Source organism: Homo sapiens, chromosome 9 (assembly GCF_000001405.40).
Source record: "Homo sapiens chromosome 9, GRCh38.p14 Primary Assembly".
NCBI classification, from domain to species: domain Eukaryota; kingdom Metazoa; phylum Chordata; class Mammalia; order Primates; family Hominidae; genus Homo; species Homo sapiens.
In genome coordinates this window covers 100,380,926-100,394,711 of record NC_000009.12, presented here as the reverse complement: position 1 = coordinate 100,394,711, position 13,786 = coordinate 100,380,926, and the positions used below count along the sequence as shown (strand labels likewise).

The following is a 13,786-nucleotide window of genomic DNA, read 5'->3' as shown; positions in this document are numbered from 1 at the left end:
GGGATACTTGCTTCAGGCAGGAGATAGAGGTGTGCAGGAGGAGGTGTAGTGAAGGATAATTTCAGCATAATTTTGCTGTTGAAACAAACCTTTCTATTTTCTTAACATTTCAGGCATATTTTTGGTGCCAAACACAAGGTGGTAAATTCCTCAGTAACTCAATTTCAAAACAAGTGTGGATGTGACATTTCCAAGGCACTACACTGTAGTGGTTAAGAACAGAATTCCATCCCAGGCCACAGGCTCAAAGTTAAATGGCCTGGGTTGGAATTCTGGCTCCTCCATTTACAAACTATATGACCTTGAACAAGTTACTTAATCTCAATTTCTAGGTCCATAAAACTACAATAGTAGTATAAAGGTTCACTATAGAATTTTTATAAGAATGAAATAAGTTGATTCATGTAAAGGTAGAACAGTGCTTGGTACATGTTAATTATTTGATGACTGTAAGCTTTTATCATTTTCATTTAATGATTTCACAATAGTAGAGTCTTGGCCAATGAGTGATTATTCCTTACTTAAAAAGTTTATTTATCATCACATAACTGGTTATTCATGTTAATTTAAGAAAAAGTCCTTTGTACTGTAGAATTATAACTTTTAGGTGATGAAATACAACTACTTAAACTTTTAAGTGAATATTTAATAAGGCTGGTGATTGACCTGACTATCTGTGATTCATCAGGTTACGGTTTGGGGGACTTAATTCCTTCTGGCAATTACAAATGCTAATCACCTTAGGAAAGACAGTAAAAGAGGAAATCAAACTGAGAGATTTAAAATTAGAGGTTGAAACTCTTGGAAATATTGATTAGAAGAAATAACTTTTTTTTTTTTTTAGTATTTATTGATCATTCTTGGGTGTTTCTCGGCGAGGGGGATGTGGCAGGGTCATAGGATAATAGTGGAGAGAAGGTCAGCAGATAAACACGTGAACAAAGGTCTCTGGTTTTCCTAGGCAGAGGACCCTGCGGCCTTCCGCAGTGTTTGTGTCCCTGGGTACTTGAGATTAGGGAGTGGTGATGACTCTTAAGGAGCATGCTGCCTTCAAGCATCTGTTTAACAAAGCACATCTTGCACCACCCTTAATCCATTTAACCCTGAGTTGACACAGCACATGTTTCAGAGAGCACGGGGTTGGGGGTAAGGTTATAGATTAACAGCATCCCAAGGCAGAAGAATTTTTCTTAGTACAGAACAAAATGGAGTCTCCTATGTCTACTTCTTTCTACACAGACACAGTAACAATCTGATCTCTCTTTCTTTTCCCCACATTTCCCCCTTTATTTTTCAACAAAACCACCATCGTCATCATGGCCCGTTCTCAATGGTCGCTGTCTCTTCGGAGCTGTTGGGTACACCTCCCAGATGGGGCGGCCAGGCAGAGGCACTCCTCACTTCCCAGAGGGGGCGGCCGGGCAGAGGCGCTCCTCACATCCCAGACAATGGGCGGCCAGGCAGAGACGCTCCTCACCTCCCAGACGAAGGGTGGCTGGGCAGAGGCGCTCCTCACTTCCCAGATGGGGCGGCCGGGCAGAGGTGCTCCTCACATCCCAGATGATGAGCAGCCAGGTAGAGATGCTCCTCACCTCCCAGACGGGGCGGCTGGGCAGAGGCGCTCCCCACCTCCCAGACGGGGAGGCCAGGCAGAGGCGCTCCTCACATCCCAGATGGGGCGGCCGGGCAGAGGCGCTCCCCACTTCCCAGATGGGGTGGCGGCTGGGCAGAGGCGCTCCTCACATCCCAGACGGGGCGGCCGGGCAGAGGCGCTCCTCACATCCCAGACGGGGCGGCCGGGCAGAGGCGCTCCTCACTTCCCAGACGGGGCGACTGGGCAGAGGTGCTCCTCACTTCCCAGACAATGGGCGGGTGGGCAGGGGCGCTCCTCACTTCCCAGACTGGGCAGCCGGGCAGAGGCGCTCCTCACCTCCCAGACGGGGTGGCCGGGCAGAGATGCTCCTCACCTCCCAGACGGGGTGGCCGGGCAGAGGCGCTCCTCACTTCCCAGACGGGGCGGCCGGGCAAAGGTGCTCCTCACATCCCAGACGATGGGCGGCCAGGCAGAGACGCTGCTCACTTCCTAGACGGGGTGGCGGGTGGGCAGAGGCTGTAATCTTAGCACTTTGGGAGGCCAAGGCAGGCGGCTGGGAGGTGGAGGTTGTAGCAAGCTGAGATCACGCCACTGCACTCCAGCCTGGGCAACATTGAGCATTGAGTGAGCGAGACTCCGTCTGCAATCCCAGCACCTCGGGAGGCCGAGGTGGGCAGATCACCCGAGGCCAGGAGCTGGAGACCAGCCCGGTCAACACGGTGAAACCCCGTCTCCACCAAAAATACAAAAACCAGTCAGGAGTGGCGGCGCCTGCCTGGAATGTCAGGCCGAGGCAGGAGAATCACCAGAACTCGAGGCAGGGAGGTTGCAGCGAGCTGAGATCATGGCAGTACAGTCCAGGCTTGGCAAGAGAGGGAGACTGGAGGGAGAGGGAGAGGGAGGGGGAAGGGGGATGGGGAGGGGGAGGGAGAGATAACTTTTTAATGGAAGTTCTTTTTCACCTTTGAAAGTCACTTCCAATGTTGATTTACTTATTTCACTATTTTTGATGCCAGTTGAACAACATCTACTCATCAAAAAGTATTTTTTAAATGCTTTCATATCTGGTATTGGTATGATTGTTTTGTGAATAGCAAAAGCATGTAATTTAAGGATAGATATACACTATTTTGTGGACATGTTTGCACAGTGTGCAAGCTACTTGAAATAATGGTAACAAAGTTAGGTTAACGGGGTTTCTACATGAAAAATTAAATTTTATGGTTCCCAAGAGAAACCAGAAAGAATTTGGACTGCTGCTGTCTTAGACATGTGCTAATGTGGCTGTTATTAGTCTGAGGTGGAAGATACTGAGGTACTGGATGAATGGTTTGCATTTAGCAGTGATTGTTTTCAAGCTATGTTTAAAATTTCATTATGGGCCAGGCGCGGTGGCTCACGTCTGTAATCCCAGCACTTTGGGAGGCCAAGGCGGGCGGATCACGAGGTCAGGAGATCGAGACCATCCTGGCTATCACAGTGAAACCCCGTCTCTACTAAAAATACAAAAAAATTAGCCGGGTGTGGTGGTGGGCGCCTGTAGTCCCAGCTACTCGGGAGGCTGAGGCAGGAGAATGGCGTGAACCCAGGAGGTGGAGCTTGCAGTGAGCCGAGATGGTGCCACTGCACTCCAGTCTTGGCGACAGAGCAAGACTCCGTCTCAAAAAAAAAAATCCATTATGGTGAATATTTAATTGTAACAAAAAATAGGCTACATTTGCATTAGCCTACCCTAGATGATACCTAATTGGCACACAAATTCCATAGGAAGGCAATACTCCTACTCATTAACTTTCTTTATTTCTTTTTTTCTTTGAGACAGAGTCTCACTTTGTCACCCAGGCTGGAGTGCAGTGGCGCGATCTAAGCTCACTGTAACCTCTGTCTCCCAGGCTCAAGCAATCCTCCCACCTTAGCTTCCCCAGTAGCTGGGACTACAGGTGCGCACCAAGACGCCTGGCTAATTTTTGTAGTTTTTTTTCTTTTTTTTGGTTAGAGATGGGGTTTTGCCATGTTGGCCAGACTGGTCTCAAACTCCTGACCTCAGGTGATCTGTCCATCTTGGCCTCCCAATGTGCTGGGATTACAGACATGAGCCACCACGCCTGGCCTCCTACTCATTAACTTTCTACAAGAATCCTGTGATGAAATAATTAAACAAATTTCAAGTAAGAGTTTATAGAACCATACACATAAAAGGTAACCATGTGAGATGATGAATATGTTAATTTGCGTGATTGTAGTATTCATTTCACTATGTATATATGTCTCAAAATTACATGATACACCTTAAATATATACAACTAAAAAAAGTTAATAGATAAATATATTGTGCTAGGGGTCAGTGTGGGTTCAGAAAAACAGTCACAGAAAAATATAGTTGTATAACGTATTTTAAAAATATTTTGGGGGCAGGGCGTGGTGACTCATGCCTGTAATACCAGCACTTTGGGAGGCCAAGGTGGGGGATCACTTGAGCCCAGGAGTTTTGACACCAGCCTTGGCAACATGGCAAAACCCTATCTGTACACATAAAAAATAAAAAACTTACCCAGGCATGGTGGCACGTACCTATAGTCCCAGCTACTCAGGAGGCTGAGGTAAGAGGATTGCTTGAGCCCAGGAGGTAGAAGTTGCAGTGAGATATGATCATGCCACTGTACTCCAGCCTGGGCAATAGAGTGAGATTCTGTTTCAATATGCATTTCTGCTATAATCATTATTATTTTCACATGTACCATAATTGACTTTAAAAGGAATATAAGTACTTTCTACCTTAACGAAAGATAGTCTAAATGGTCTCATATATTGGTTGTGTTAGTTATAACAATATCTGTAAAGTTGTAAGTAGCTAAATATCATAAAATTGATGAGTAAATTTAATTTCACTTAATAAACATATAATAAATAGATACATTTTCCTATACCAAACAAGGAAACAAGCATTATAATAGAAAGGTTAAGCATTATGTAACAAACAACCCTTGATATTAAAGTAGACTCTCACACAGTTTGGCACAAAGTAAGCTCTTGGCAAATGTCAATTTCCTTCCTCTTCTCTCCTCTATATTAATATATTGACTTTCTCTTATTAAATGTGGTATATTTTTGGTTTCTCTAAAGAAACAAAATTTCAGAAGCATTGATCACACATATGATTACCACCCAGTCTCCCAACTCTCCTGGATGACGTAGGCTGAAGGGAACACAATTTAACGCCTAGGAAGGATGGGAAAGTGAACTATGGTGTAATAGGTACAGGCAATTGTCTCAACCAAGCCTCAGACAAATTGCAGGCAGATCATGGATTTAAACCTTTCTTCATAATGTAATCTTACTATTTCAAACTACAGATGCTCCTTGACTTATGATGGGGTTACATCCCAATAAACTAATTGTAAATTGAAAACATCACAAGTTGAAAATATGTTTAATATACCTAACATACCAAACATTATAGCTTAACCTAGCCTACATTAAACGTGCTCAGAAAACTTTCAGCACAGTATTCAATAAATTGCATAAGATTGCCAAAGTCAAATAAAATAGAGAGACTAATTTTAAAATGTTTTATTTGGGACACAAGAATTGCAATTCAAGGCATAAATACCGGCATGGTGGTTTTGGGTATGTATGAAGAACAAAGGGAAGGTTGGAGGTTTTAAAAAAGGAGAAATGTTATGTATTACTTTGAAAGAAAATTCATAGGCACTAATAAAGTTTTGAGGAGCTGACAGGTTCTGATTGGTGAGTGACAGCAGTGGGTAAAAGAAGTCTAGAGTCAAGTAGGTTGTTTCCTACTGGAGGTTTACTGGAGGTAAACCATTCAGGCTTTAGCATTTGAAAGTGTGAGGCTAGACACCACCTGTTCATGCGGATTCAGGAAAACATTAGCAGTTCAACCACCAGGTCTCTTGGGAAGCTGAGTTCAGGCATAGCCCCTTCCACCTGGCGGACAGGGAACCAACTGTTCATAGGCAGGCAACACAAAAAGTGTTCTCAGGTCATTTATTGGACAATCCTGCTTGTTCTCCAAAGTCCACTCCTTCACTTACAGAAAGTTCTGCATGTTTTTTTCCATCAGAGGAAATAACCTATTCATATCTGAAATAGGAAGAGAGAGATGCTCATTTGCCTTCCTACCTCCCACCCACTTCCTGGGTTGGATATGGTCATGTCAAATTAATTGGCATCTGTTCTCCTCCACAAGGATGAGCCACACTGTTGGTCAGTCACATTCCGCCTAGTTGAAGCCATGAGAGTGAATGTGTCTAGATAAAAAAAGGAGAATGCATTTAAGGACAGGACCTTGAGGAGCCCCTATGTTTAGAAGGGCATGGAATAAGAATAAGCTGATGGAAAAAAACAACAACAACACAGAAAGAATGGAAGGTATTAGAGCCAGCATGTAAAAAGCTACAGGGTGGGTGGGGTGATCAACAGTGTCGTATGCTATAGAGAGGAGACAACTATAAAGACCAAGAAAAGGCCAGATTGGATTTGCTGGTTTTAGGCCTCTAATAAATTTGGAAAGAGAAGTTTTAGTTAACCGGTGGGAATAAAGTCTCCTTGCAGAAAATCTTGTAGTAAGCTACAGAAGTGTCAAGATTTTAAGAAATTTGAAGGTAAAGCAGTCATGTTGAGTGTATTTTATAAATTTGTTCATATCTTTTCTTCACCTACCCCCACCAATCCCATCACAGGTTTTCATCATCTTTCTTTTTTTTTGAGACGGAGTCTCACTCTGTCACCCAGGCTGGAATGCAATGGAGTGATCTTGGCTCACTGCAACCTCCGCCTCCTAGGTTCAAGTGATTCTCCTGCCTCAGCCTCCCAAGTAGTGGGATTACAGGCACACACAACCATGCCCAACTAATCTTTTATATTTTTAGTAGAGACAGGTTTCATCATATTGATCAGGCTGGTCTCGAACTCCTGACCTCAGGTGATCCACCCACCTCAGCCTTCCAAAGTGCTGGGATTACAGGCGTGAGCCACTGTGCCTGGCCAGTATTCATCATCTCTTACCTGGTTTATTAAAATAGTCCTGTTTCTAGTGTCACTCTCTGACTCCCACCCCATGTTAATAACGGTGGCTATGTGGATAGAAAAAATAAACCTCCAAAATTCAGCATCTTAAAGAACAATAAATTCATTTCTCATCTCATCCAGAGTAAGTTTCTAGGTCAGCAGATGGCTTTTCTCCATGTAGTGATTCACAGATCCAAACTCCTTCCATCTTAGTCCTTTGTCATTTGCAAGGACATTCATCTCTTTTGCATGATTGAGGCAGGGTCACCATTGCCAAAATTCAGCTGGTGGAAAGGGAAAGCAGGAAAAGGGTCAGCCTGGTCTTAAGGTGCTGGTGTGGAAGTGGTGTGCATCACTTCCATCACTTCCATCTTACATTCCATTGGCTAGAACATGCTCACATGGCCACACCCAACTTAAGAGGACGCTGGGAAATGTCAGCTAGCTATATGCTCAGGAAGGAAAGGAGGCTGCATTTGGATAGACAGCTCTCAGTCTCTGCCATCCTCTCTGGGCCTTGTTCATCCTCCACACTGCTGAAAAACTAGCTACCTGATCATGTCATTTCCCTGTTAAAAAAAGAACAAAATTCAGTGGTTTCTATAACTGAACAACAAACAATTATTGAGCATCTACTGTGTGCTGAACACTGTAGATACAATGGAAACAAAAAGAAAGATTCTGCATTTGTCCACTTGAAGCTTATAGAGGAGCTGGAATTCTGGGAATCATATGTAATTCCTTATTGTCTCTCACCCCTATACCCAAGCCATCATAAAGACCTGTGAATTTTCCTTTCATTCACAGTACTACTCTGGACTGGGCACGGTGGCTCACGCCTGTAATCCCAGCAATTTGGGAAGCAGAGGCGGGTGGATCACCTGAGGTTAGGAGTTCCAGACCAGCCTGGCCAACATGGCAAAACCCCATCTCTACTAAAAATTAAAAATCAGCTGCATGTGGTGGCACGCACCTGTAATCCCAACTACTCAGGAGGCTGAGGTAGCAGAATCACTTGAACCCGGGAGGCAGAGGTTGCTGTGAGCTAAGATCACACCACTGCACTCCAGCCGGGAGAGAGAGCGAGACTTCATCTCAAAAAAAAAAAAAAAAGTACTACTCTGTATCCCTCCTCCCTGTTTCCCCCAAGTGTGGCCACCCTAGATGTTTCTTTAAAATCCTAAATTGCATAGCTTTTACATAACCAGAATTTTAGAAGATGTTATCAAATAACCCATGAATGTGCAGTGTATGGGGGGAAATGGAGCATTTAAACTAGTTTGTTGGTATTATCTATTTTTATATTTATTCTCATTCGGCTCCTGCTTGAAGCTGTGTGGGAAACCTTTTCTGTAAATGCTATCTGATCCATTTTCTTTCATGTAGTGGCTAAGTTCATTATCTGTGCTTGGTGGTCCATGAGATTTCCCTCTTTATCCTCAAAACAAACTCCCTGTAGCTTCAGTTGCTTGAATGGCTTTCTACTCCTAGTCACCAATATATCCCTCAGTAAAACAGTAATTTTATTTTTGAAAAGCATATTTAACATCTAATGTGGGCATCATATAGTATTACATATTTTGGGGTGCCCATAGCATCCTTCGTGGAAAATGCTTTGGCAGTGGCTGGTGCCTGGTTTGGAAAAGAGCAAGATATCTGTATTATTTCCCTATTGCTGGTGTAACAAGATATCACAAACATAGTGGCTTAAAGCAATACCCATTTATTCTCTCACAGTTGTGTAGGTCACAAGTCTGAAACTATGTTAAAAAGTTTGCTTAAGTACATAATAATAATAAACTCCAATTAACATGATTTGTTCTAGTTATGAGATTGATTTGCAAACTCAGTCTGCAGTAAGGAAGACAAGATAGCATTGTAAGTGAAAAGACCCCAAACCCAGCAATATCACTTACTAGTTGTGTGGCCTTGATTAAGTTACTTAACCTCTCTTAGCCATGTATCATATATTGCTGTATAATAATAATGCCTAAATCATAGAATCATTATAAGAATATATGAAAGTACATGTAGCAAAGTATATGTAAAAACTGTTGGCATAAACTAAATGACCAATAAACACTAAATAAGTAAATTTAAACATAAATGAGATGGGCCGGGCGCGGTGGCTCATGCCTGTAATCCCAGCACTTTGGGAGGCCGAGGCGGGTGGATCACCTGAGGTTAGGAGTTTGAGACCAGCCTGGCCAACACAGTGAAACCCCATCTCTATTATAAATACAAAAAAGTAGCCGGGCGTGGTGATGCATGCCTGTAGTCCCAGCTACTCGGGAGGCTGAGGCAGGAGAATCACTTGAACCCGGGAGGCAGAGGTAGCCATGAGCCAAGATCACGCCACTGCACTCCAGCCCAGGCAACAGTGTGAGATTCTGTCTCAAAAAAAAAAAAAAAAATTAATTTTGCCTATTTGTTAAATTCACATAAATGGAAAAATAAAGTATGTATTCTTTAGTATGTGGCTTCTTTTGATCAAAATCATGTCTGTGATATTTTTCCACATTGTTGTGTGTTTCAGTTGTTCATTCTTTTATATTGCTGAGTAGTATTCCATTGTGTGAACATACCACGATTGGTTGATTAGTTTTCCTGTTGATGAACATTTGGGTTGTTTCTGGTTATGAACAAAGATGCTATGAACACTTCTGAACAGAACTTGTAAATTTAATTTTTTATTTATCTTGGGTAAATGCCTAGTAGTGGATTGCTGGATCATATGGTAAGCGTAAGCTGAACTTGATTAGAAACTGAAGAACAGCTTTCAAAGTGTACATACCATTTTATAGTCATAACTACAAAACGTAAGCAAAATGTAAGACCATCAGAGTTCCTGTTACTCTTCCTCCTCGCTACAATTTGGTATCATATTACATGACAGAGGCTGTGCCTAATAATTCTCTCTCTTTTTCTCTCCCATGTCATCCTCACCAGGACTCAATAAAATAGGCATTAGTGTCACCCAAATTTTATAGATGAGAAAATGAAAGTACAGAAATATGAAATAATTTGCCCAAGATCACACAACTTTCAAATTGTGATGCAGGGAATTTTATCTGGTAGCCTTTGCTCTAGTACTGCTTTTGTTACAGGAAAGGGGTACCAATCCAGACCCCACCAGAGGGTTCTTGGATTTCATGCAAGAAAGAATTCATGGCAAGTCCATACAGTAAAGTGAAAGCAAGTTTATTACGAAAGTAAAGGAATAAAAGAATGGTTACTGCAGAGACAGAGCAGCCCCGAGAGCTGCTGATTGCCGATTTTAATAGTTTTTCTTGATGATATGTGAAACAAGGGGTCAGTTATTCATGCCTCCCATGTTTAGACCATATAGGGTAACTTCCTGACATTGCCATGGCATTTGTAAACTGTCATGGCGCTGGTGGGAGTATAGCAGTGAGGACGACCAGAGGTCACTCTCATCACCATCTTGGTTTTGGTGGGTTTGGGCTAGCTTCTTTACTGCAACTGTTTTATCAGCAAGGTCTTTATGACCTGTATTTTGTGCTGACCTCCCATCTCATCCTGTGACTTAGAATGCCTTAACTGTCTGGGAATGGAGCCCAGTAGGTTTTAGCCTCATTTTACCCTGCTGCTAATTAAGATGGAGTTGCTCTGGTTCAAACACCTCTGAGACACTTTCATTCATTACACATTACCTCTTCAGGTAGAGCTTTTACTTACAGAGATAGTTATAATATATATTGTAACTATAGTATATATATATTACATAATCTAGTTACTTGACCCTACTGTACAAATGAAAATAATTGCCCTAAATAGATAATTTTATTAATTTGGCACTTGTGCCCTTTGCTCTTCCTAAATTTCCTGGTTATTTTTCAGAGCTTTGGATGCTTAGGTGTATATTTCCAACCTGGGTCATGGATGATTCCAAAGGAGAAAGGATAATTGAAGAACAGCTCTTGCACAGGGTACGGTAACAGTACTCTTAGGTCTTCTCTCAACTTCAAACATCTGGTTTACTGCTTGCCTTAGTCCATTTTCTATTACTTATAACAAAATACCTGAAAGTGGGTAATCTATAAGAAATGAAATGTATTTCTTACTGGTCTGGAGCCTTGGAAGTCGAAGCAGGAAGGGAAACATCTGGTGAAAGCCTTCTTGCTGGGAGACTCTCTGAAGAGTCCTGAGGCAAAGCAAGGTATTATATGGGGAGGGGGCTGAGTGTGTTAACATGCTAGCCCGGGTCTCTCTTCTTCTTCTTATAAAGCCTATTAATCTATTAACTCATTAATCTGTAACCACCCAATGGGTTCATTTTGCCCACTGCCCAGAAAGAGCTGACTTATCAAGACAGGGGAATTGCAATAGAGAAAAAGTTTAATTGACATAAAACTGGCTGAATGGGGACCAGAGTTTATTATCACTCCAATCAGCCTCCCCCAAAATTCAGAGGCTAGGGTTTTTCAAGAATAGTTTGGTGGGCCAGGGAATGGGTACTGCTGACTGGTTGAGGATGCAATCACTGGGTTGTGGAAAATGGTCCTTGTGTATGTGGAATCTTCTTCTGGGTGAGGCCACAGGACCATTGCTGGGTCTGGGTGGAGCCATTGACCAGAAATGCAAAAACCTGAAAAGATATCTCCAAAGGGCAGTCTTAGGTTCTACAATAGTGATGTTATCTGCAGGAGTAATTGGGGAAGTTGCAAATCTTGTGACCTCCTGAATAATGGCTGTTAATTGTTTACATCTACAACTTAGCAGAATTCAGGCTCCTCTCATCCTCCTAACCTGGTGGTCTTTCATTAGTTTCACAAAGGCAGTTTGGTTTTGGGGAATAGTTATTATCACTGAAACTATAAACTGTCTCCCAAAGTTAGCTTGGCCCAAGCCCAGGAATAATTGAGGGCAGTTTGGAAGCTAAAGAGAAGATGGGGGTTGGTTAGATCAGATCTCTTTTACTATCATAATTTTCTCACTGTTATAATTTTTGCAAAGGCAGTTTCAAATTCATTTATCTATGAATGAATTCATCCATTCATGAGGGTAGAGCCTTCATGATCCAGTCACCTCTTAAAGGGACCACCTCTCAATAATGCCACATTGGGGATTAAGTTTCGACATGAGTTTTGGAGGGGACATTCAAACCATAGCACTGCTAAAAAGAAAATAGCTACTATATAAAGGAAGTATCTGTGAACTATTTACTACAGAAAAGTTAGCTTACTTATTCTGTAACTATTAGCCCTTGTAATCATATTTCATAGAAAAGAGTAAGGGGTATAGAAAGAGAAAAAAAAAGTTTGAATTTTTTTTTCTGGCTTCAGATCACAACTGATATAAATGTGCATGTACTTGTGAGTGTGTGAATGTGTGTATAAGTATGTTTATGTGTATATATATATGGTAGATATATGCTAAATTATATACTATATAATTTACTATATACTATATAGTAATATATATACTAAATTATATACTATATAATTTACTATATACTATATTTTTACTAAACTGTTTTATTTTTTTTGAGATGGAGTTTTTTGCTCTCGTTGCCCAGGCTAGAGTGCAGTGGCGCAATCTTGGCTCACCACAACCTCCGCCTCCCGGGTTCAAGCAATTCTCCTGCCTCAGCCTCCCAAGTGGCTGGGATTACAGGCATGTGCCACCACACCTGGCTAATTTTGTTATTTTTAGTAGAGACGGGGTTTCTCCTGTTGGTCAGGCTGGTCTCAAACTCCCCACCTCAGGTGATCTGCCCACCCCAGCTTCCCAAAGTCCTGGGATTATAGGCATGAGCCACTGCGCCCGGCCTATATTTACTAAACTTAAAAATATATAATATATGCTATATATTATATACTATATATAGCACAGATATATTTATATACTAAATATATAAATATATCTGTGCTATATATAGTATATAATACATAGTACATATATATTTCATATATAAATATATTTATACTATATACATAATATATATATTTTACTATATATATTTATTAGGTCATTAAATTATTAAATGTTATTGAAAAGTGGGGGTTTAATAAATGTACATTGAGGAAAGAATAAATAAGTTTATCCAGGTGACTCTAAGCAAATCCAGAATATCTCTGCATTTCTCTTCTTGGACTTAAGTTACTTAGAAGAAAAATTCTAGAGGACTGAACTAAATAAAAACGGAAAGAAACTAGAATATGTGACCCCAAAACATGCCTCTTTGACACCAATATTTTTGAGCTAAAGGCAATTAAGCAAACAGAGGAAGAGCTCTTTCTATCCTCCCAGCTTTTCTACCTAAAAACAGGATATACATTCTCCTTCACTGGAAATAACTCATATCAGCTTAGAGATAGCACCAAAGGAATCTTCAAACAAACTTAATAATGACCCATTACCTACCATTAATTTCCCCATATATTTACCTCCCCATAGTTTCCTGCCTTTGGAAGCCTAAACCTGATTTCCTTTGTCGTGTCACTTCTCTTGAATTTTTTTTTTTATTAAAACATATATATGCCAGAATTCTAAACCACTGCTTTGAGTCACCTTCTGATTATGTTTCCCCTGCGTGATGTACACTGCAGGTGTTAATAAACTTGCTTGTTTTCTCTTGATAATCTGTCCAATTGCAAACTTATGATGTTGAGGATAAATTATATTTCCTCCTTGACATGATCATCTCTAATCTCTGGATGAAGAACTTGCTTAAGGCTCTAGATGTGACACCTCTGGGGTCAGTGCCAATGACTTAGGGAAGATTTGCCCTATATCCTGAGTCTTACAGGCCTTGGCAGCGAAGACTTAGATGCATAGATGAGTATTTTCTCTAGACCAAGGGCATGATTGCTATATTTTCCAAATCCAAATTTAGGACTTATAACCTGAAAAGGAACTTCAGGTTACAAGTCATATTGTAAATAATTCTAAATAATTGCAATTCTTTTTTTTTTTTTTTTTTTTTGAGACGGAGTCTCATTCTGTCGCCCAGGCTGGAGTGCAGTGGCGCAATCTCGGCTCACTGCAAGCTCTGCCTTCTGGGTTCATGCTATTCTCCTGCCTCAGCCTCCCGAGTAGCTGGGACTACAGGCACCCGCCACCATGCCTGGCTAATTTTTTGTATTTTTAGTAGAGACAGGGTTTCACTGTGTTAGCCAGGATGGTCTCGCTCTCCTG

The 13,786-nt window shown here is 41.5% G+C and overlaps 1 long non-coding RNA gene across 8 annotated transcripts in view, besides 1 other annotated feature; it reads right to left on the bottom strand.

Annotated features, from left to right (window-relative positions):
* Window positions 1–513: 513 nt before the first annotated feature.
* LOC105376177 (uncharacterized) overlaps window positions 514–13,786 on the bottom strand; it is a 41,149-nt gene continuing 27,876 nt past the window's right edge. For 2 of the 8 annotated variants that reach the window (NR_188637.1, NR_188640.1), the window contains 2 exons: window positions 4,166–4,263; window positions 514–2,474 (listed from right to left, as the gene is read on the bottom strand). This is a non-coding gene — a long non-coding RNA (uncharacterized LOC105376177). Of the gene's footprint in view, window positions 2,475–4,145; window positions 4,264–5,149; window positions 6,910–13,786 lie in introns of those variants that run through there. The other 6 variants (NR_188638.1, NR_188642.1, NR_188641.1 and 3 more) reach the window with 6 other exon arrangements.
* Window positions 1,330–1,700: a silencer, noted in NCBI's record as "fragment chr9:103155294-103155664 (GRCh37/hg19 assembly coordinates)". NCBI's record gives its function as "represses an EF-1alpha promoter that drives an FKBP-Casp9 reporter gene in an ReSE screen in phorbol 12-myristate 13-acetate-treated (for megakaryocytic differentiation) K562 erythroleukemia cells {active_cell/tissue: K562(+PMA)}" and the evidence as "EXISTENCE:reporter gene assay evidence [ECO:0000049][PMID:32094911]".